General features: G+C 44.0%; 1 long non-coding RNA gene across 4 annotated transcripts in view; it reads right to left on the reverse strand.

Annotated features, from left to right (window-relative positions):
- Positions 1 to 23425, reverse strand: part of LOC105369309 (uncharacterized) — a 189617-nt gene that overhangs the window by 109033 nt on the left and 57159 nt on the right. Inside the window, exons 5-6 of one of the 4 annotated variants that reach the window (XR_007062670.1) lie at positions 11256 to 11366; positions 1598 to 1715 (exon numbers count right to left, since the gene is read on the reverse strand). This is a non-coding gene — a long non-coding RNA (uncharacterized LOC105369309). Of the gene's footprint in view, positions 1 to 460; positions 1716 to 11255; positions 11367 to 19983; positions 20022 to 23425 lie in introns of those variants that run through there. The other 3 variants (XR_950120.3, XR_007062671.1, XR_001748217.1) reach the window with 3 other exon arrangements.

Raw genomic sequence — 23425 nt, forward strand, 5'->3', positions numbered from 1 at the left:
CTGGTGCCCACTGCCATGCCATTTGATAAGCACAGCTTGGTGCCCTTCACAGAGAGGGAGGGGAGCACTCAGGCCAGGTAGCCAGATTTCAGCTCTGATCCCAGCTCAGAGCCACACCCCTTGAAGCCCTCTGCTACTTCTGCTGTGGAGGCTTTATTTTCTGGTCCTTGAATCAGGCTACATAGTCTGAGAAAGGGTTTGGAGGCATCTTTTGGGAACAAGGAACATTTTTTTTTTAAGAACTCTTTTACACTGTTGGTGGGAGTATAAATTAGTTCAACCATTGTGGAAGACAGTGTGACAATTCCTCAAGGTTCTAGAAGCAGAAATACCATTTGACCCAGCAATCCCATTACTGGGTATATACCCAAAGGATTATAAATCATTCTACTGTAAAGACACATGCACACATATGTTTATTGCAGCACTATTTACAATAGCAAAGACTTGGAACCAACCCAAATGCCCATCAATGATAGACTGGATAAAGAAAATGTGGCGTATATATACCATGGAACAAGGAGCATTCTAAGGGATACAGCTTGGATGCTAAAACGTTGGTATTTCTGGGACATTTCAAACAAGTACGAGAACACTATCTACCTTAGATGCTGGGCTGCGCTCAAAAGCCCAGGCTGTTCAATGCTTTATTTAGGAGAAGCCTGCACTCCCCGCTGGCCTAACCTTTCTCTTGTCTCCTTCACTCCACTAACTCACATATTTAGAGCATTTATCAGACCAAGAAGGTATTAAGTTACAACCTTTTTTGTAAATGAATCAAAGTAGAAAGTGGCTGCAGGGAGAGTCTAGGAATCCTAGGGTAGACTTTCCCCTGAGTTATCCAGTTCAGTCTTCAAAGACAGGTCCTCCAACCATCTCTACGCCCCCAGTCGTAGACTAAATATTTTAAAACCCAGGGAAGAAGTATCCACTTGCCCGGGGGTTAGACATACGCCCTCTCTTGGCTTTTCCTAAGACTGGGAAAGAAGTAACTGGTCCTCCTTGGCTTCCCTAGGAATAGGAGGTGAGCACTGGGAATCATTTTCCCACCAAATCTCACAGATATAAAGGTAGTGTATTAATATTCCACTGAGATTTGGGGAAAGCAATGAATGCCAAACAGACAAGAAATGGAAAAGTGACCACTATATCTACCACACCCTCCCAAGAAATAAAAGTAAAATCAAATCAAACAAGAGAAGAGTGGGGCTCCAGAGAGAAACTCTGGAACCAAGGGAATTTCCTTTCCCGCTGAGATATTATAACCAGAGGCATAATTTGATTTTCTAGCAATGCCTGTGATTCAGAAAAGGAGGAGTCAACACTGTTAGGAACACAAGCTGTAGGGGAATATCATCCGGACATGACCTTATCAACATCCTCTGGAGGAAAGCTTTCAAAAGGGATGGTAGTAAATTCCCAGGTGTCACAGCTAAGGCAAGGAAAGGACTACCTAGGGAACAGGACTGGGTGCAATAGTCTGTTTTTTTACTATTTTCCCAGACTTCATACTCTCTGGCAAGATTCCATGGTGCCCCCTTCTTCCACCTGGATCCAAGACAATGTCTCTAGAAATGTAGTTTATCTCATTACACACCTGAATGCCACTCAGTTCTTGTAGCCGATAGAAGGGACCATGTTTCCTTCCATTACCATCTGGCCACCTGCTATGCTTCACAGTAATGCCTCCTAAAAATACTCTTCTCCAGGATCCCCTGTGAATTTAACAGAATGAAGAAAAAAATCAAAGTTAGTCTGCTCAGATTGGCTTTCCATCAACGGATACTTTTTTGATGTGCAATCGAGTAGGAAAGCAGAAGTCTTAGAGACAGACAGATTTGGATTAAAATAATGACAATTTTTTATTATACCTAATATGTATTATTACCATGTGCTGGCCACTGTTTGATTCACTTTTTGTAGATTTCCTCATTTAATCTTCTCAATAACCCTCTGAATTAAGCAACATTATTATCCCCATTTTATAGATAAGAAAACTGAGACATAAGTGACTTGGCCAATATCATTCAGCAAGAAAACAGCAGAGTAGGTCTGACTCCACAACCAAGCGTGCAATCCCTCTGCAAAACTGCCTCTGATTAAATAGCTGTGCCTTCCCCATCTCTCAGATCCTTGGTTCAGACGGCCTTAGGCATGAAGCAACTCGACTGGCGGAAAAGGGAAGAAAGATACTTCTCGAGAGGACAAGGGGATGGGAAACACAGTCTGGACATCTTGAGGACAGTCAAATAACATGAAGCACATGAACAGATCTGGGAAGCCACTGGTATTCAGGGAGAGCCTATGAGGCAGCAGAGAGTCCCCCAAATGACACAGTCCCAGCATCATGGCTCCATGGCTCTGGGCACTAACAAGGGTCAGACAGAGTGGCAAGTTGTCAGAAATTCAGGAATGGCTGCAATCCCAGCATAAGTAGATAGGTAGATAGGTCACAGACAGATAGATACATCCATACATCCATACATCCATCCATACACACATACATAGATGATAAAGACATAGACAGACTAGTGATAGATAAATAGATTAGTTAGATGGAACATAGATAATAGATGAGAGATTAGATAGGTGATAGATACATAGATAGATGGAAGATAGATAAGATAGATGATTGATAGATAATAGTAGATAATTGATAGATGATAGATAGAAGATAGTAGATAATAGATGAGAGAAATTAGATAAGTGATAGAGATAAATATATAGATAGATGGAAGATAGTAGATACATATAAATGATATTGGACCAGAATGATCTATCAGATGCTTAGCCACAGAGACAGAACAATCTATGTAAAGGTAGGCACATAGATGACATGGGCTGGTACAGTATTAAGTATTACCAGGCACTAGACACCTGGCAGACAGTGGGCTGAGGCAGCTGATACACTCGCTTACCTGGTCAGATGGCCTCTAAACTTGGACTGGGCTGAACCTCCTGACGGGTGCATGGATGACTCCAGCCAACAAGCTTTAGATAATGTGAGATTCCACCTTCCTACCCCTTCCCACTTCTGTGCATAGCATTGTGGGGATTCCAATCACTTCTCTGATCATATAGATCATCACTACTGTCATTATCAGCATTTATTGAGCTTTTATTTTCTAGCAGGCATGGTTTGAAATGCCTCACATCTGATTCCTCATTAAACTATCACAATGGGCATGTGCAGTCAAATGCCATTTTAGGGTCTTGGGTTGCAAATGGCAAACACATCACCTTCCTTCACTATCTATCTCTTTCCTTACCACAGCCTCCATAGAAGCCACTTTTCAGACAGAAAAGGTAAAAAAAAGTCTCAACCTCTTTGGACTTTAAGAAAGTGAGAAATAGGCCAGGCGCAGTGGCTCACGCCTGTAATCCCAGCAATTCGGGAGGCAAAGGTGAGTGAATCACCTGAGGTCAGGAGTTCGAGACCAGGCCTGGCCAATATGGCTAAACCCTGTCTCTACTCAAAATACAAAAAATTGGCCAGGTATGGTGGCACATGCCTGTAGTCCCAGCTGCTCGGGAGGCTGAGGCAGGAGAATTGCTTAAACCTGGGAGGCGGAGGTTGCAGTGATCCGAGATCACACCACTACACTCCAGCCTGGGTGATAGGGCAAGACTCTGTCTCAAAAAAAAGAAAGAAAAAAAAGAAAGCGAGAAATAAACTTTTATTGTATAAAGCCACTAATGACTCAGGGTTAATTTGTTATTGCATCTTTGCCTGACTAATCCACCACTATCACATAGGTTTGCTGTGAGAATTGAGTTAATACATGCAAAAGATATAAACCTCACCTAATATGTACTCTCTTGCCTAATATGTGAGCACTCCATAAATATTGCCTGCTATTGCTCCATATAATCTTGCCCAATATGTAGTAAGCACTCCATAAATGCCAGCTGCTGTTAATATCATTCTTGGAAGACTGGATATAGACACAGATCCCCAAAGGGCTTAAGACCTTACCGTTGTTGACTTTTATTGCACCAAAATGAATATCCCCTGAGCTCCTGTTCATAACAGCATAGAGCTGGGGCTGAAAGTGCGTTGTATTTGCAAAGGGTTTTATTCATTTCTTTAAGAATTACATAACAATCGCAGATTCTTGGAGCTGGAAAGGATCTTAAAGGTCATCTTGCCTATCCCCCACCTAAGGCTTAACTCCCTTCTACCCTCTCCTTTACCCTCATCTGAACACCTTATCTTGAGCCTACTCGAGAGCTCTTGCTCTGGGAAAGTTCTTCCTTATGCTTGCCTGGATCTATTGCCAGCCCCCACATGGGCCAGTACACCTGCCCAGCACATCCATCTTCAGTCCACCCACTGGCCACAAACACATTGGCCCATTCATCTAATTCATTCAGCAAACAGGCAATGAACTCCTACCTCATGCCTGGCTTATTGCTTACTGTGACCTCAGGCAAATTACCTACCCTCTCTGAGCTTCCAATGCCTCATCTGTAAAATCACTGTAATGCTAGCACCTAATTCCCAGAGTTGTTGTCAGATTAAATGAGGCAGCATACACAGGGCATGTATCACAGATCCTGGCACATAGTGAGTGTCCAGGAAAGATTACTCTTCCTTGTTACCTTTGTTGTGGTTTCAGTGTATTGGAAAAAATAGAAGTTGAGTCAGTATTTGCAAGTCTGATAAGTACTGCGAAAGAGGAAGTATAGAGTGCTACAGAAACACTGAATGAATTTGAATTGGGTTTAATGGTTCCATATGAAGAGACCTCTTTCCCAATATGGGGACATGCAGTTGGTTATCAGGGGGCCCTCAGAAAGGCCTGGAAAACCAAGCTGAGAAAGCCACAGTAGCAAGGCTATTGGCTGTTCCTGGGGATGGCATCAGAACAAGGTTGGTGGCATCAGAAACAAGAGAATGAGGGCCACTCAAGATGCACTGCAAAGGGGGACCCGGGAACAGGATGTGATGGAGCCCAGAACCTGCTTTCATGTGGCATGGAGCAGTCCTGGCAGCTTAAAGGAATTGGTCGGGAGGACTGTAATAGATAGAAAACAGACTAGGCAGAAAAGCCTTACGTCACCTTAGAGCTGCCTAACAAGGCAGTCGGCACAGCCCAGGGATGCAGGACAACAGGAAAGATAAATTCCAGGCCCCCGGGTGCTGTATGCAAACTAAATTCCGGCTTCTGAACCAAAGCCTTCAGGTCAACAGAGGAGACAGTCTAGGGTGGGGCATGGGTGGGGAACAGAAGGAACCACTGAAGCCCCCCTGCCACCCCCGCCTCCACCTCCTCATCACTACCCAGCCCCACTAGGCCAGACCCGCCAAATGAATTACACATAGGGGGAGGTGATTGGCCCAGTCCCACCCAACACGCTTCCAGAGGCTGGTTTGTTATTCCTGTTGTTTTAGATGGTCATTTTCTTTGTGAGAAGAGCCCAGGAGGAAGGCTTTCTTCCCTCCCTATTCATGCTGCTTGCCTGCTGATTCATTGATTATCCTTCACATGTCCTGGCTGTAGCTGGGATGTAACCACGGAGGGCAGGCAACCTGGGGTGGGTGGTGGCAGTTCCTTACTTGAGTCACAAAGGGTATCTTCCACCCCCACTTAATTGCCAATAAAATATAAAGCACAGGATGTCTCTGGGAAACAGCAAAGAATCCTGTTAAACCCTGTTTTAAAATAGGTTTTTTGTTTGTTTGTTTTTTCCTGTTTGAGTTTTTAATGATCAGGAGGAAAAGACTCTTTTTTGCTTTAGGGAGCTAAATTGTCAACTGGAGGTCCCTGCCCTCATCAGAAGCAGGAACCCTGAGTGGGTTAGGAGGGAAGCAGAGGAGTGGGCGTGATGGAGAAATTTTACCCATTGGGCCACATGAACTGGCACGACTTTCCAGGTGGCTGGCTCTCTCAACATTCAGGCACAAGGCCAGGCCCCAGTTAGTTAATTCCAGTGACAGACGCTGTCAGTCCCCATCAGGTAACCAGCATGGCTTGGTGCCTCCACCAAGTAGGGGTCATAGGAAAAACCGTGACCTGAGTTTGATTCCCAGTTCCGTGCTATACATTCTGTGCGACTTTCAGCAAGTCATACCACCTTGCTGAGCCTCAGTTTTCTCATCTGCAAAATGGAGCCAGTAATAATGACCTAATAGGATTCCAGGAGAAGATTAAGTAAGATGAACACCTACAAAAAGACCAACACAGTGCTGAGCCCATTGTAAGTACTCCAAACTAGCATCTATTAAAATCTCTAGCTATCATGAACATGTGCCTGGCTGTGGAAGGCTTGGAACTTCAAAGGGAAACAAGGGACCCAGGTGTGTGTCACTCTCTGGAGTGTGATGAACTCAGCTCCTAGAATTTTAGAGACTACTTCCTAGAAGAATGACAGAGACTCAGCTTTGCCTCTCTTCTTGTTATTGATTCCTTAGACTTGAGACTCCTCACTCAAATCACTTTCGTATTCCCTTTATCACAATATTGAAAGCTGGTAAGGATCCCCACAAAGGTGGGCTGCAAAGTGGTGGTCCAGCAGATGCCCTCACTTCCTGAGGGAGCAGAGGATGTAAAGTGTGTGGTGTGGGTGCGGCTGGGCCCCTGTGAATATACTTTAAGACCCAGTGGAGAAAGCACATAGCATCTCAGCTGACTTTTGCAGACAGAGCTAAATTGAGAGGTGTCACCTTCGCTGGCAAGGTCAGAGGACTCGTGTCTGCTAACCTGGAGAGGTGGGAATTGCAGGCAGCAAACAAAATTGCACTGCCACTTGGAAATCTGCCAACTGCTACAATCAGGGTAAAAATAATTGGAAAAGTAAGTCAGGTGTCAATCAGGTGCTCTGGCAACATGTGGAGGTATGAAGCACTGCTATCTACTCCCTTTTCTTCCTGAGCCCCCTCCTGCCCTGGCCTTTAGGACATGGTTTCTACCCATCCCTGTCCCCTTTCCTGGCTTCTTATTCTTTTTCCATGCGGTAGGTCTTGGTCCTTGACACTATACTTCTCTGCTCTCATACTGCATTCCCTAGAGGATTCACCCTTCTCAGGATTTGTCTCCCCCACCCAGCCCAGCTTCTCTGCTGATAACCACCAATCTAGAGCCTCCAACCCAGAGCCCTCCCTGCCCCAAGTTGCTAATGGCTCACATGTCCCCTTCTCTTCGATACTGTGGGACAAGCCACTCATTCACCACTTTACTCCGTCAACAAATATTTAGTGACTAGATACCACATACCAGGCACTGAGCTAGGTGCTAGGGATAGAGAAGTGAAACATGCTGCTGGAAATTCAATTGGAAAGGAAGAAAATTAAAAACATTAATTAAAATTAAATTTTTTATTAAAATTAAATTAATTAAAATTAAATTGTGAAAAAAATGTAGGAAGAATATAACACAGCTTAAAATGGACAAAATTGAGGCTGAGAGAGGGAAAAAAAAACTATTTCTTATAAAGTAGGACCGCTCTTCATCCACGCTATTGAAGCCAAACCCGAAGGGTGGGCAAGACCTAGGTGTGGTAGGAGCATCATTCCAGAAAGATGGAATCACATGAGGAAGGCTCTCAACAATCTCTTTAAAAAATAACTTTATTTGTGTTGGGGATATTAAATGTAGGGTTCCCACTTTGTTATCAAGCAGAAGTTAAAAGCAGATAGTAGCACCATGGTAAAAGATATCTATCAGCCAGACATCTAAATAATTACTTAAATTGTCCTAACCCTGACATTTATCACCAACCTTTCCCTTGGAGGTAGGTAAGTAGGAAAATAATCAGAAGAAAGTTATTTTGTAATTACCCAGCATGAATTATGATTCTGAGAGGCTATTTCCAGGGGTACTTTAGAGTAATTTAGTTCAGCATTATCAGAGTTTAATTTAGCATAACATTGTCGGTACAAAGAAACTCTGGAACCAGACTCACAAGAACAGGATTTTTATTCTGCCATTCCTAAGCCATCTGACTATGGATCCTAACCTCATGAAGCCTCGACTGCCATCTCTGTGATATGGGGATGATAATACCTGCTTTACTAACTTCACAGGAGAGTTGGGAGAATCAGGGCAATAAGTGTAAAAATGTTTCATGAACTGTACATGGGAGGGACCATTATTCACGCCTTTAATGGAGGTTGAAGGATCACTTTTGGTTGCAACTGACAAAAACATATTCATAACTCAAATTGGTTTAAGGGAGAAAAAATTACTAGCTACAATAACTAGAAAATCAAGTTAACTAGCTCTAGGTACAGTTTGATTCAATGGTTCAAATGACACCATCTGCATCCAGGTTTCTCACCATCTCTCACTCTCCTCTTCTCCATATTGTTTCCTTCTTAGGTTGCTCTAAAAACTATACCCTCCCAGGTTCAAATCTAGGAACACAAGAGAGAATGCCTCTCTCTAAACAATTCAAGGAAATTTCTGAGCCTGATTTTCACTGACTCTAATAGAGTTATGTGACCATCACTGCACTGACCACTGTGTCCAGGCAATAAGAAGCCTCAATGAGCCATGAATATGTCCCATGCCCAACTCTCAAGTAAGAAGCACATGGAGGCTGGGTGCGGTGGCTCACACCTGTAATCCCAGCACTTTGGGAGGCTGAGGCGAGCAGATCACAAGGTTAGGAGTTCAAGACCAGCCTGGCCAATGTGATGAAACCCTGTCTCTACTAAAAATACAAAAAATTAGCCAGGTGTGATGGTGGCCACCTGTAGTCCCAGCTACTCGGGAGGCTGAGGTAAGAGAATCGCTTGAACCCAGGAGGTGGAGGTGGAGGTTGCAGTGAACCAAGCTCACACCACTGCACTCCAGCCTGGGCAACAGAGCAAGACTCCATCTCAAAAAAAAAAAAAAAAAGAAGAAGCACATGGACTGAAAGCTGGGGAGGAATTGATCCCTAGAGAAATTAAGAGAAAAATGAAAGGCAATTGGACAGCAAAAACAACAGATGTCCACTCCACCCCCATAGCTTAAATCCCTTCATGGAAAACTCCCAGATCGGTCTTCAGTGTCTCAGGATTAGCAGTAACTAAAGACAGATATGATTACGGACTCAAAAATGGTACATAACCCTGCTTAAGAATTACATCCTACATAAACTCAATATTGAGCCTCGAAGTTGAGCCTCACTACTGAGTTCTTGAAGTCCAACCTCTTCTCAAGCAACTCATCTTTCCTTTCAGATTCAGTTGCTTCTTCCCATCCCAGACAGTTCAATTAGGAGGAGGGAGCCTGTATTGTGAATTTCTTCTACTTCTGCAAGTCTTGGTTCCATCCATTAATCAACAGTTCTGTGTCTTTTCTGGCCCTGGCTTCTCTGCTCCTCCACAACTTTTGTTTTTGTTTTTGCCTTTGTTTTCAGGTATCAGAGCATGTTAAAGATGCAGCGAACACATGCTTGGGAGATGTGGGAGGTCGTTGAGGGTGTCAGAGAGAGGGGAGGTGATGAGGAAAGCTTCACAAAGGGATTTGCAACTGAGCCTTAAGTAATGATTAGGAATTTTCTAGAACAAGAATGAAAGAAGGTCATTTCAGGCCTGAATCATTGGATCCAAAACTATTTTCATCTCATCTCTCTTTTGAAGAAAGAAAACTCTTTTCTCAACCCAGAAGTTGCAAACCAGTGGCCTGCAGATAGATCAGGCTGGCAGATGTGTTACACTTGGCCCACACAACATTTTGTAGAATTTTAAGTAGTTGCCAACATTTAAAAATGGTGAGATTTTTTTTACATAAGGATCCGGATTTCCAGCTGCTCTTGAAAACTCAGCTCTGACAGCCCTGGACCTAAGCTTCTACTGGGGCAACAATTGACTAAGTTGAGTAACACCTACCCTCTGCAGGGCTGTATGACCTGCTGACCTTGCTCCTTGTTCTGTTTTCTGCCTGGCGCCTGTTGGCATTGAGTTGGTAACTCTGTCTCAACCCAAACAACTAACCATTTATGTTTCAGACTAACTCCCATTATTATCATATTATAATACTATATTATATTTTATATATTATATTATTATATTATATAACAATCTAATCTGTTGCTACTACTCCCTTGCTTTGAATCCCCAGTGATTCTCCAAATCAGCAGAACAAAGTCTAATGCAGACTGGGTTTACCTCAAACACTTCCCCTCTATTTTACCTACCAACTCCCAAACCCCAAAACCCTCTATACTAAATGTTTGCCATTTCCTAATCCCATCCTTTCCCATGACTACATACTGTTAACATGTGCTATCCCCTCCACTGGTCAAATTTCCCTGTGTCTTCAATGTCCAATTCAGAGGTCAGTGTAGATCTCCCTGGCTTGTCTGGGTAAAACTGTCCCTCCTTCCTCAGGGCTCCCATCCAGCACCGCGTTCCTACCTTGGTTCCAACACCTGCCATGTTTCTCTCTAATTATCTGTTTACGTGGCTGCCTCCTCCACACCCACCCCAGACTGAGATCCTTGAAAGCAAAAACCGTGACTGATTCATCTTTGTATATTCAGTGCCTTTCTGTATACCTTGGCAGATATCAGATACTCAATAAATTCTTGTTAAACGAATGAAGAAAGGAACAAACACACAGGGAACAAATTGGCATGTGTTCATGGAATGTCACACCTCAACAATTGTAATGAAAGGAATCATTCCCACTGAAGCTTTTCTGTCTACTCTAGCCACACAGAATTGTTCCCTTCTCTGAATCCTTGTAGAAAGAGTAGTTTATGACAGCTCCTGAGTGAGTTATTAGAGGAAGCTAATTAGAAGGAGGTCATATCCTTTGGATATTGACAGATATAGGATTACAGAGCAAAAAAAAAAAAAAAAAAAAAAAAACCTCAGTGCTAGTCTCTGACCTTTCTAGCCCCCGGCAGCTACAGGCACCAAAGCCTGTGGGGCTGCAGTTCAGGTCCCAACATCAACTCTAGTCCAGGCAGAGAGAAACTCCATAGCTGAGACACCCCAGAGAGAAGTTCTAGGATAAGTTATTATTTTCTCACTCAGCTCCAGACACAATTGGTGCACTTGCAATTCCTTGAACATACCAAGCTCCCTCCCATCTCAGAGCCTTTGCACCTTCTATTCCCTCTGCCTGGAATTCTCTTCCCCTGTGTATCTACAGGACTCACTCCCTTACTTTATTCAGATCTCAGATCATATTTAACCTTAGTAGAAAAGCCTTCCCTGATCACCAATGTAAAACTGTAGAAGTGTATCCCACAGCTTGTTACCCTCTGTTCTTTACTCTGCTTGAAGGAGGAGCTAAAGGAATGAGGGCATTACGGACCAAAGAGAGCCAGGACTTGATGTCACCAGGACTCTACTCTCTTTCCTTTTCATCTCATATCCGTTTTTTGGTTTTGCTTGGCTCCTTTCTCTTCTACCAGGCAGGCTTTCTCTGTGTGAAAAAAAAAAAAAAAAAAAAAGCCATGAGTCACAGCCTCCAAACTCAACAACTAAAAGAGAAAGGAGTTTTCCCACCCATTCCAGTGAGAATAATCTCAGAAAAATCATCGGATTGGTCTAACTCAGGTCATAAGACTATCCCTAAGCCATTATCACAGTGAGAACATGTGTGTTCTTATTGATCAGGTCTGGGTCCTACCCCAGGATTGGCTTGGATAAGGCTTTTTCGGTTTGATTCATCTCTGAACCTATCACTGCAGCCAGAGGAGGACATGCTCACCTGCCCAGGCCTGCTCACATGCAGACTTGGAGCTGGGAGTGGAGCAAGTCCCAATTGAACTATATGGTTAAGAATCAGGGAGTGGAAAATCAAGGTGAAACGTACCTTCAAGACAGAGGAGACAAATGGGTACTGGACAGACAGGTGTATTCGCTACTTGATAATGACTTTACAGTTCCCAAAGCACTTGCTCCCATCCTTCATTTATCTCCATTGAATTCTCACAGCAAGTTCTATGTGAATGCCCCAACGTTATTATCCTCAGGGAGATATTTCATTTATTAAACAACCCGTATAGTTTGGGCACTGGCCAAGCAAAAGGGACTCCAGCTGTGAACCACAGGGATGAACACCCTGGTTAACAGCAGTAGAACAACAGCCTCATCACACCCATTTCACAGGTGAAGATGCTGAAGCCAGGAGAGATGTTTAGACTTGTGCCCAGGTGCATAAAAAATGGGTAGGAAGAACTTGAGACCCTTGATGCCAAGTATAGGCCCCTTTCCAATGTCCTAAACTATCCCTCTGTCCACACCCATCAGGGAAGTGAAGTGAGGCAGGATGGAGGGAACCAGAGGAGAGTTGCTATTATGATCCCAACCACGTGGAGAAAGAAGCCAGCATGCTGTAGCTTGCAAGGAGGCTGCTTAGTCGGTGCCACAAAAACCTGGAAAGCAGTGCCTGCCAGACGGCAGGGACAAGGAGCAGCCAATGAGATGGGAGTTTGCAGCCAGGATGGCAGATGCCAGGAAGGCTGCAGCTATTCTAGGATGCAGGCAGTGACTGCTCCATTACCCCAGCCCTCCCAGTCCCCATTTCCCTAGGGTATTGGGGAGATCTCCATCCTCTCTCCAGCTCCTTATTGATGTAGGGTCCGAAAGCTGAGACTTTAGAGTCAGGCAGTCAGGCCAAAGGGATTCAGCCCCTTAAAGAAAATGGTGAACTATCATCTCAAAACATGGAAAATGCTTAGTCACTGTCCTGAATACAACTCTACAGTCACCCAACCTATTCAGAATTCATCTGGTCCAAATGCCCCATGCTATTAGATGCAGAAACTGAGGCCAAGGGAGAGGATATGATTCGCTCCACGGCCCCACAGCATATTTGAAGGATAGCTGGGCATTGCCAGATTTCTCAGTTCAGGACTCCTTCCCCTGGGGATTGAGAGGCAGGCTGAGTCTCATTTGGGATCATGATCCTTCTATTTCATGGGGCTGTTGGAGCTTGGCCTTCCATGGCTAGATCAACTCTTGACCTTTATGCCTCACATTCTCCCAGTAAAGGCCATGTTGTAGCTGCAGGTGTGGATTCCTGCTACAACCCCTCTTCTCTGCCCTCATGTGCTCCACTGAGGACTATACAATGCACCCTCAGGCCCCACTCTCTATTCTGGATTCAGAGCCTGAACCAGCCCAAAGCACCCAGCCTTCACTTCTCCATCACGGTGTAGTTCCTCTCAGCTCTCCATACCAAAAGCATCTGTTGGGCAAAAACATCTTGGCCCAAAGTCCCTCCTGGAGTAAGGGAAAAACAAAAGAATAATAAGAAAGAAATTTCTCTTTTTCTGCTCCTGACAAGTACTAACCTTTCCATTGCCCCTACATTCTCAGCCTGGCTGGACAACAAAGAGTGTTTCACACAGGTCTGTCATGCCTTCAGTGTACAGCTTTGTGGTTAGGGGCACAAACTCTGGATATACCAGACAGTCCAGAGTTAGAATCCGCCTCTGCCATTGACTAGGTATGTGACCTGGAAACACCTTCTTTCCCCTGCCTGTTTTCTCATCTGTGAAATGGTGTCACCTCAAAGGGTTGGGAGACTTGAATGACATAAAGGATTTGGCTCTGTGCCTAGGATAGTCAGTGCTTGATGCTTTTTTTAGCAGTAGGAAGCTGTTAATTGCCACATGTTGTGGGATGAAGGGGATGTCACTACAGCCACCACTACCTTTCCTGCTCCTTTCAGTCCCTCTCAAGCTCTGGTTCTGCCAAAGCCTTCCCTGATTACTCTCATCTCTCCATCAGTCTTTCTTTCCAGAACCTGTACACCTCCATTTCCCATCCAGCTTAGTTCTGAATTAAATTCCATGTCTAATAGTTCTGATTTGGTGTTGTCCTTGTCCCCACCTAAAACCATAAACTCTCATCAGACAAGACCAATGGGTTTTCTTCTACCCCTGGCAGTGCAAAGTCCAGGACCAGGCAGGTGGGGGGTGCTGGAAAAGTTAGCAATTGAGTGATTGTACAGCCAATTTGTCACTTTCATGGGATCGGAGTGAGGCTATCTCAGAATCTTCTGTATCTACTTCATCTCTTGCTCTTTCCATTCTTTGATACTTTGACACATCCACATCCCAGAGCACATCATGAGATCCTGGAGCCAGACCTAGAAACCTATTAAACAAGGGAACCCCAGCATGTCTCATTTATTACCCAAAGGAAGGAAATTAGCATCACATGTATAAAGCACTCAGTAGTCTATAAAATGCTCTTAGCAATTCACTTCGTGAGGAAGTGCCTTTTCCCACTTCCACAGAGGGATACCGAGCCTCAAGGGATTAGGAGACTAATCCAGGCTCACACAGCTGATAAGGAACAGCCCAGACATTTTGGCCCAGTGCTGCTAGCCCTCAATCTGGTGCTTTGCCCTCTGCACCGCCTGCCATGCAGGGAATACATGTTAATATCTCTCTGTATTAGTCTGTTCTCATGCTGCTAATAAAGACATACCCAAGACTGGTTAATTTATAAAGGAAAGAGGTTTAACTGAATCACAGTTGCACATGGCTGGCATCATGGTGGAATGCAAAGGAGGAGCAAGGCCACATCTCACATGGTGGCAGGCAAGAGGGCATGTGCAGGGGAACTCCCCTTTATAAAACCATCAGCTCTCTGCTGGGTGTGGTGGCTCACACCTGTAATCCCAGCACTTTGGGAGGCCGAGACGGGTGGATCACCTGAAGTCAGGAGTTCGAGAACAGTCTGGCCAACATGGCGAAACCCCATCTCTATTAAAAATACAAAAAAAAATTAGTTGGGCGTGGCAGTGAGTGCCTGTAATCCCAGCTACTCGAGAGGCTGAGGCAGGAGAATCACCTGAGCCCAGGAGGCAGAGGTTGCAGTGAGCCAAGATCACGCCACTGCACTCCAGCCTGGGTGATAAGAGTGAAACTCGGTCTCAAAAAAAAAAAAAAAAAAAAAATCACATCTCACGAGACTTATTCACTATCATGAGAACAGCATGGGAAAACCCTGCCCCCATGATTCAATTACCTCCCACTGGGTCCCTCCTATGACATGTGGGGATTATTACAATTCATGGTGAGATTTGGGTGGGGACACAAAGCCAAACCATATCACTCTCTTTCTTGGCCACAGGTGGACTTGAAAAACCCTTTCCCTTAACCAAGCAGGAGCCCCAGTAGCTGCTTTGTTCAACGTCTGTTTCTCTAAGGTCTCCTACTCTGGAATATTTAGGAAAACCCAAGGTGGCTCAAAAAGATCATCCCTGTACCAAGCCTCAGGGATTCTAGTGTGACCCAACCTCTCCCAGTCCCTATAGGCATCTCTTTCAAACATCAGAACTGGTGCAGACTCAATAGAAGAAAGGTGTGACTCCAAGATGTCCTCCCTCACAGCCCTTTATCACAATGGGGCTCTCTTCACCGTAGAAGGGAAGGCTGAGGCTCAGAAATATGGTGTAGGCTTGGACTTTGGAAGGAGAATGACTAAGCTGAAGTTCTTCCTCTGCCATTTACAAGCTGTGTGACTTTGGAAAACTTTCTTAATGTTTTTGCTTTTAATTTCCTCATGTATAAAAGATGGGGTTGTCATACTTAGGTTTAAGACTATTGCACGTGCCTGTAATTCTAGCACTTTGGGAGGCCGAGGTGGGCAGATCACTTGAGGTCAGGAGTTTGAGACCAGCTGGCCAACATGGTGAAACACCATCGCTACTAAAAATATAAAAATTAGCCAGGCATGGTGATGCATGCCTGTAATCCCAGCTACTCGGGAGGCTGAGGCAGGAGATTCGCTTGAACCTGGGACGTGGAGGTTGCGTTGAGGCAAGATCACGCCACTGCACTCCAGCCTGGGCAACAGAATGAGACTCCACCTCAAAAAAATAGAAGACTATTGCAAAGATTTTAAAAGATGGCACAGGTACAACACTGAACACAGTGTTTCATGAGTGACAGTCATAAGCTTTTCTACCACCTAACTGTGTTACTTTTAGCAAACTACCTAATTTATCTCGGCCTCGGTTGTTTTGTGATTCTTTTCAAGGGAAAAAAAAAGCACCTCCCTTCATAAGCCTGCTATAAGAACAATATAAAATAGTTGACATAAAGCACTTAATCTCTTGCCTGTCACAGGAAAGGTGCTCAACACCTGTTAGCTCTGTGTTGATGTCCCCAGATCAGAGAGCCAGAAAAGGAGGGCTAAAGTTCCAACCAGGATCTTCTGGTTCCAACCCAGCAGCACCTGAGCAAGGTTGATAATGGTAAAGAAAAGAAGAAATAAGCAATAGGGGCCTCACAAACACAGGCAGGAATAAATCACTCCCATGTGGCAGTTTTCTGTGCCTGACCCAAGAGATAGGTGTTGCACCTTTATCCATGTGGACAGATAAGAAAGAGCAAAGGGCATAGGTCACAGAGGTGAGTATGACCTCATTGCAGTGCCAGGATATTTCCAGGCAATTGGCAAGACTTATTGACAATCATCCAATAAATAGGATAAATAGTTCTTACTTCCCAAGTGCCTGGGAAGAGAGCTTGCAGCTCTTTCCAATTCCTGCCTCTCATCTCTTCCTCCTCGGACACTGCAGCTCTCCGTTTCTGGAAAATCTCAGGGCAGAATCTGGGCTCCTTCCCACTTTCCTCTGTCCAGAATTCTAAGGATGCCTGGGAGAAGGCATCTGCCCTGAATGAATGGGTCAGAGGCATGATTCCAAGTGACTGGCTGGTAATTGGAAGAGCTCAGTGGTCTGGCTGGGGAGATGAGAGCCTGCTAAGCACATCTGGCCAGCATCAGAATCACAAATTGAAGAGAGCTTGGAAGGACTCAGCCCCCACTGACATTCACAAAGGAAGGAAAATGTAGGGAGCCAGACAGAAAGGAGTGATGCTCTTCAAAGTCAACAGGCTTATAACAAACACCATCTCATAGGTGAAAGTGGGAGCACAGAACAGGCACACTCAGCTAACACACAGCTTTCTGAGGGAGGTCATCCTCCACCAAATGAAAATAGCCCTGCTTTTTCATTTTTTAATTTTTATTAATTTTTAAATCAACAAATAAAAATTATATATATTGGCCAGGTACAGTGGTTCATGCCTATAATCCCAGCACTTTGGGACGCCAAGGCAGGAGAACCACTTGAGACCAGGAGTTCAAGACCAGCCTGGACAACATAGTGAGATCCCATCACTACAAAAGAAAAAATATTTAAGGAAAAAAATTGTATATATTTATGGCATACGATGTGAAGTTTTGACATATCTACACATTGTGAAATGATTAAATCAAGCTAATTAACATATCCATCATGCCACATCCTTAAATTTTTATGGTGAGAACATTTAAGATCTATCTCAGCAATTTTGAAGTGCATGCTATTGTCACCATGCTACACAATAGACATCCAGAATTTATTCATCTTGTCTAGCTGAAACATTGTATCCTTTGACCAACATCTCCATACCTCTCCTGCATACCTCCCAGCCCCTGGTAACCATTATTCTCCTCTGCTGCTATGAGTTCGATTTGTTCGGATTCCACATATAAATAAGATCGTGCAATATATTTCTGTTTATGCCTGGCTTATTTCACTTAGCAAAATGTCCTCCAGTTTCATCCATGTTGTCACAAATGACAAGATCTCCTTCTTTTTTAAGACTGAATAGTATTCTATTGTGTACATGTACCACATTTTCTTTATCTGCTGTATTAGTCTGTTTTCACACTGCTGATAAAGACATATCCAAAACTGGGAACAAAAAGAGGTTTAATTGGACTTACAGTTCCACATGGCTGGAGACGCCTCAGAATCATCACAGGAGGTGAAAGGCAGTTCTTACATAGCAGCAGCAAGAAAAAATGAGGAGGAAGCAAAAGCAGAAACCCCTGATAAACCCATCAGATCTCATGAGACTTATTCACTATCACGAGAATAGCACGGGAAAGACCGGCCCCCATGATTCAATTACACACTCCCCGCCCCTGCTGGGTCCCTTCCACAACACGTGGGAATTCTGGACAATATAATTCAAGTTGAGATTTTGGTGGGGACACAGCCAAACCGTATCATTCTGCTCCTGGCCCCTCCGAATCTCATGTCCTCACATTTCAAAATCAATCATGCCTTCCCAACAGTCCCCCAAAGTCTTAACTTATTTCAGCATTAATCCAAAAGTCCACAGTCCAAAGTCTTATCTGAGACAAGGCAAGTCCCTTTCACCTATGAGCCTGCAAAATCAAAAGCAAGCTAGTTACTTCCTAGATACAATGGGGATACAGGTACTAAGTAAATACTGCTGATCCAAATGGGAGAAATTGGCCAAAACAAAGGGGCTACAGGGCCCATGCAAGTCTGAAATCTAGCAGGGCAGTTAAATTTTAAAGCTCAAAATGACCTCCTTTGACTCCAGGTATCACATCCAGGTCACACTGATGCAAGAGGGGGGTTCCCATGGTCTTGGGCAGCTCTACCCCTGTGGCTTTGCAGGATACAGCCTCCCTCCTCACTGCTTTCACAGGCTGGCATTGAGTGTCTGCGGCTTTTCTAGGAGCATGGTGCAAGCTGCTAGTGGATCTACCATTCTGTGGTCTGGAGGATGGTGGCCCTCTTCCCACAACTCCAGTAGGCAGTACCCCAGTAGGGACTCTGTGGAGGGGCTCCAACCTCACATTTCCCTTCTGCACTGCCCTAGCAGAGGTTCTCCATGAGGGCCCCACCCCTGCAGCAAACTTTTGCCTGGGCATCCAGGCATTCCCATACAACTTCTGAAATCTAGGCAGAGGTTCCCAAACCTCAATTCTTGACTTCTGTGCACACATAGGCTCAACACCACATAAAAGCTGCCAAGGCTTGGGGCTTCCACCCTCTATACTCACAGCCCAAGCTCTACCTTGGCCCCTTTCAGCCATGGCTGGAGTGGCTGGGACACAGGGTACCAAGTCCCTAGGCTGCACAGCACAGGGACCCTGGGCCCGGCCCATGAAACCACTTTTTCCTCCTGGGCCTCCAGGCCTGTGATGGGAGGGGGATGTTGTGAAGGACTCTGACATGGCCTGGAGACATTTTCCCCATGGTCTTGGGGATCAACATTAGGCTCCCTGCTACTCATGCAAATTTCTGCAGCTGGCTTGAATTTCTCAAAAAATGGGTTTTTCTTTTCTATTGCATCATCAGGTTACAAATTTTCTGAACTTTTACTCTCTGTTTCCCTATTTAAATGGAAGCTTTTAATAGCACCCAAGTCACATTTTGAATGTTTTGCTGCTTAGAAATTTCTTCCACCAGGTGCATCACTTGAGGTCAGGAGTTTGAGACCAGCCTGGACAACACGGTGAAACACTGTCTCCACTAAAAATACAAAAATTAGCCAGGCATGTGGTGCACATGTGGTGGTAATCCCAGCTACTTGGGAGGCTGAAGCAGGAGAATCACTTGAGCCCAGGAGGCAGAGGTTGCAGTGAGCCAAGATTGCACCACTGCACTCCAGCTCGGGCAACAGAGCAACACTCCATCTCAAAAAAAAAAAAAAAGAAAAAAGAAAAAAAAGGAAAAGAAATTTCTTCTGCCAGATACCCTAAATCATCTCTCTCAAGTTCAAAGTTCCACAGATCTCTAGGGCAGGGGCAAAATGTCGCCAATCCCTTTGCTAAAACATAACAAGAGTCACCCTTGCTCCAGTTCCCAACAAGTTCCTCATCTCCATCTGAGACCACCTCAGCCTGGACCTTATTGTTCATAACAGTATCAGCATTTTTGCCAAAGCCATTCAACAAGTTTCTAGGAGGTTCCAAACTGTCCTGCATTTTTCTGTCTTCTTCTGAGCCCTCCAAACTGTTCCAACCTCTGCCTGTTACCCAGTTTCAAAGTTACTTCCACATTTTCAGGTATTTTTTGAGCTATGCCCAACTCTACTGGTACTGATTTACTGTATTAGTCTGTTTTCTTGCTGCTGATAAAGACATACCTGAAACTGGGAACAAAAAGAGGTTTAATTGGACTTACTGATCCACACGGCTGGGGAGGCCTCAGAATCACGGTGGGAGGCAAAAGGCACTTCTTACATCTACTCATCCATCAATGGACACTTAGGTTGATTTCATATCTTGGCTATTATGAATAATGCTGCAATAAACATGGGAATGCAGGTAAGTCTTTTACAAGCTGGCTTTCATTTTCCTTAGGATAGCTCTGCTTTTTATCTCCCTGTACCATTCTGTCTTCTTTTGAAACACTTTTTATCTCTTTTTATTTTTCAATGATTTAAGATTCATCTCCTCTGCTTCACCCCTCCCTGAGCATGGATCTTTTCTGGTTTGTCGGCTGCTGTATCTCCAGTGCTTAGCAAGTTGCCTGATACAGCTAGGGGCTCAATAAATATTTGATGATCGCTTATGAAAAGATCTCTCTTTCTGACATTTGCTCAGGTAGGACTACAGTGAGGTTTGTGACCAGCTGCTCCCACAGCCCCTCTTCAGATGTGACTAGAGTCAGCTTTCAAATTCATCAAGTCCTAGTTCCACCTCTTATTTGCTGTGAAGTCTCAGGCAAATTATTTAACCTCTGTCCCTGTACCCTGATTTGGTTTTCTTCACAGCATTTATCATCACCTGTCATATATTTGTTTGTGTTTGTACTTATCATCTATCCCCTCTGACCAAAAACTGAGCACCAAGAGAGTAGGGACCTTTTGTTCACTGCTAACAGAAGGCATAGTTAAATATTTAACAACCAAGCATCATGGACACTGACCATTCAGAGTGGACGTCTGCCTCATAAGCTGTGCAGGGATATATGCTGTACAGGTAGATCAAACCTGGGTCTGATATATAGTAGGTGTTGAATAAATGTGTGTTAAATAAGTGGATGAATTTCAGCCGGTCACCCTCTCTGTACCCTCTGTACATTATATCTATTCAGCATATATTGGTTCCTGTCCACTCCCATGGTGGTCTTTTCTGGTCAGCTAATGAAGAGTCCCCCTATGGCCCCATTCTCTCTCCTACTATAGTAAAATTGATCTCTCTCAATAGGACCTCAAAGCAACAGCATCTGCTACTTCTACTTCTTATCATTGAGTGTTAATTTTGATCTTTTAGTTCATCCCTTTATATCCACTTCTATTTCGTCTAGCAACCCCCAGAAGCCTCTCTTTCCATTATCAAGAGTGGTCAACAGCAGTGTCCCGAGATAGACATTTAACCAGCCTGCCTCAGCCAGAGAGGTTTTATGGGCTTTCAGCCAAGAGAACCCATGAGCAGGTACTGCTGACCTGATGCTCAAGAATTGACTCATTCATGCAGCAAATATTTGTGAAGTTTCTGTGGTTATTATATGCTAGACACTGGAGAAAAAGATTCAAACAAAATACCTGTACCTGCCCACAAGATGCTGACAGCCTAACAATGGAAACAGACAGGTAAACAGACAATTACCTTGAGAATTCCTGACAGAAGCGAGAGAAGAGGGGCAGGGAGTTGCAGTTCCTAACAAATTTTATTATGTTCTCCCATTAACTTTTCAGGAAAATACATTTAATAAGCACTTGGCAACTCAGGTTGTATATTGGTGGGGACAATTCTAAGCCTTATAGCTGCCTTAGGCTTGCAGGACAGTGGCAATGACTCCAGGAAAGATTTGGCCAAGAGAGTACTGGGTGACAAGAGGAGCTACGCTCCACTCACCCTTCTTTTCCCATCTAGCCTTGCCTCCACTCGAGGTTGTTCTCCCTGCCAGGGAGGTGGTCACAGGACTGGAGCCACCTACCATTCACATTATGTATGAATGCATGTTGTCTGGCAACAGATAATCATTAGATTTTACTGTTTATGCTTCCAAGTTAACCACATCCCCCCTTCTACAAACACACACATGCACACATGCACACATACTGTGCGTGCATGCACATACCCATGTATGCACACACTCGGGAACACACAGGCATGCATGCACACACACACACCTCCGTGGTGGTCAGGAATCATGCAGATGTTGAATCACGTCAACATCAAATTACAAAGGGATGATGTGGAGGATCACTAAGGCAGGAGCATGAAGAATATATCATAAAAGCTCAAAAACTGGACCAAGGATGCAGAAAACAAGAAGCAGAAAGGACATGCGAACTGGTCACAAGTAAAAGGATAGGCTGCAATTGTTATCTAAAGACTAAGTGCTGTTATTTGAGGTGTGGCTCCATATTCACCTCCACCAACTCCCTACCAAAATAATAAAATAATAGTCATAGTTATGGTTTGTTGAGAGTTGACAGATACTATGCTACACATTTTACATGAGTCATTTCATTAATAACCATGAGTCAGGTATTATTATTATTATTATTATTATTATTATTAATTACACCAAAGCTTTTATTCCTAACACTATGCTACATAGCCTCCTATCATATAATATTGCCTCCCAGGTTGAATCAAGAGATTTTAGCGTCAGGAACGGAAGTCATCCAACTCATTTTCTTTTTTCTTTTCTTTTTTTTTTTTTTTTACTTTTTTGTTTAGAGCCAGAAACTCACTCTGTTGCCCAGGCTGGAGTGCAGCAATTAAGTTATAGCTCACTGCAGCCTCAGTCTCCTGGGTTCAAGTGATCCTCCTGCCTCAGCCTCCCGAGTAGATGAGCCCACAGGTGCATGCCACCATGCCAGGCTGATTTTTTTATTTTTTTATAGAGATAGAGTCTCGTTATGTTGTCCGGGCTGGTTTCAAACTCCTGGCTTCAAGCAGTCCTCCCAAATTGGTCTCCCAAAGTGCCAGGATTACAGGTGTGAGGCACTGCGCCCAGCCCCATTTCCTTTTCATATAATGATACTACTCATAATTGTTATAGTAATGGCCAATTCCTTGAGATTCTATAAAGGACCAAGGACTATGCCAGGTTCTACATGGATTGCCTCTTTGAAATCTCTCCACGGCCCTGTGAGGTGCATCCTAAAATCATGCCCATTTTAGATATGAGGAAATTGAGCACAGTGAGGTTAGGTCATTAGCCTAAGGGCACACAGCCAGTGAGTGGTGAAGTATTAGTTAATTTTCGCTCTGCTTTATTCCATTAACATGATTGTGCATGCTGTCCAGGCAACAATATCACCCATCAGGATGCCACAATTAATACTGTTCTATTTGGTGTTTCTTTTCATTATAAGATGCTTTCTTAGCACCCTCTGTTGCTGAACACTGGACATTCACATTACTTCCATCTTTTTCTTTATCATAAATGTTCCTTCTATGAATATTTTTGAACGAACTAATTTCTTACTAATTGCCGAGTCAAAGGTATAAGCAATTTCTTAAGTGGGTCTGAGCCAATTCCCAGTGCCCCTCAAAAAGGTACATGCATCTCATTCCCCCAAAGCCAGCACATGTAGTTTTACAGGTGGATTTATTGTTACTAGTTTAACGTATTATCACTAAATGGTTTTTATGTTTATGTCTTTAATTTTTAGCCAGACCATGCATCTTTCCACATGACATTTATGTTACTTTTCTATTGCTGCATCACAAATTACCACAAAC

Source organism: Homo sapiens, chromosome 11, assembly GCF_000001405.40.
Source record: "Homo sapiens chromosome 11, GRCh38.p14 Primary Assembly".
NCBI classification, from domain to species: Eukaryota; Metazoa; Chordata; class Mammalia; order Primates; family Hominidae; genus Homo; species Homo sapiens.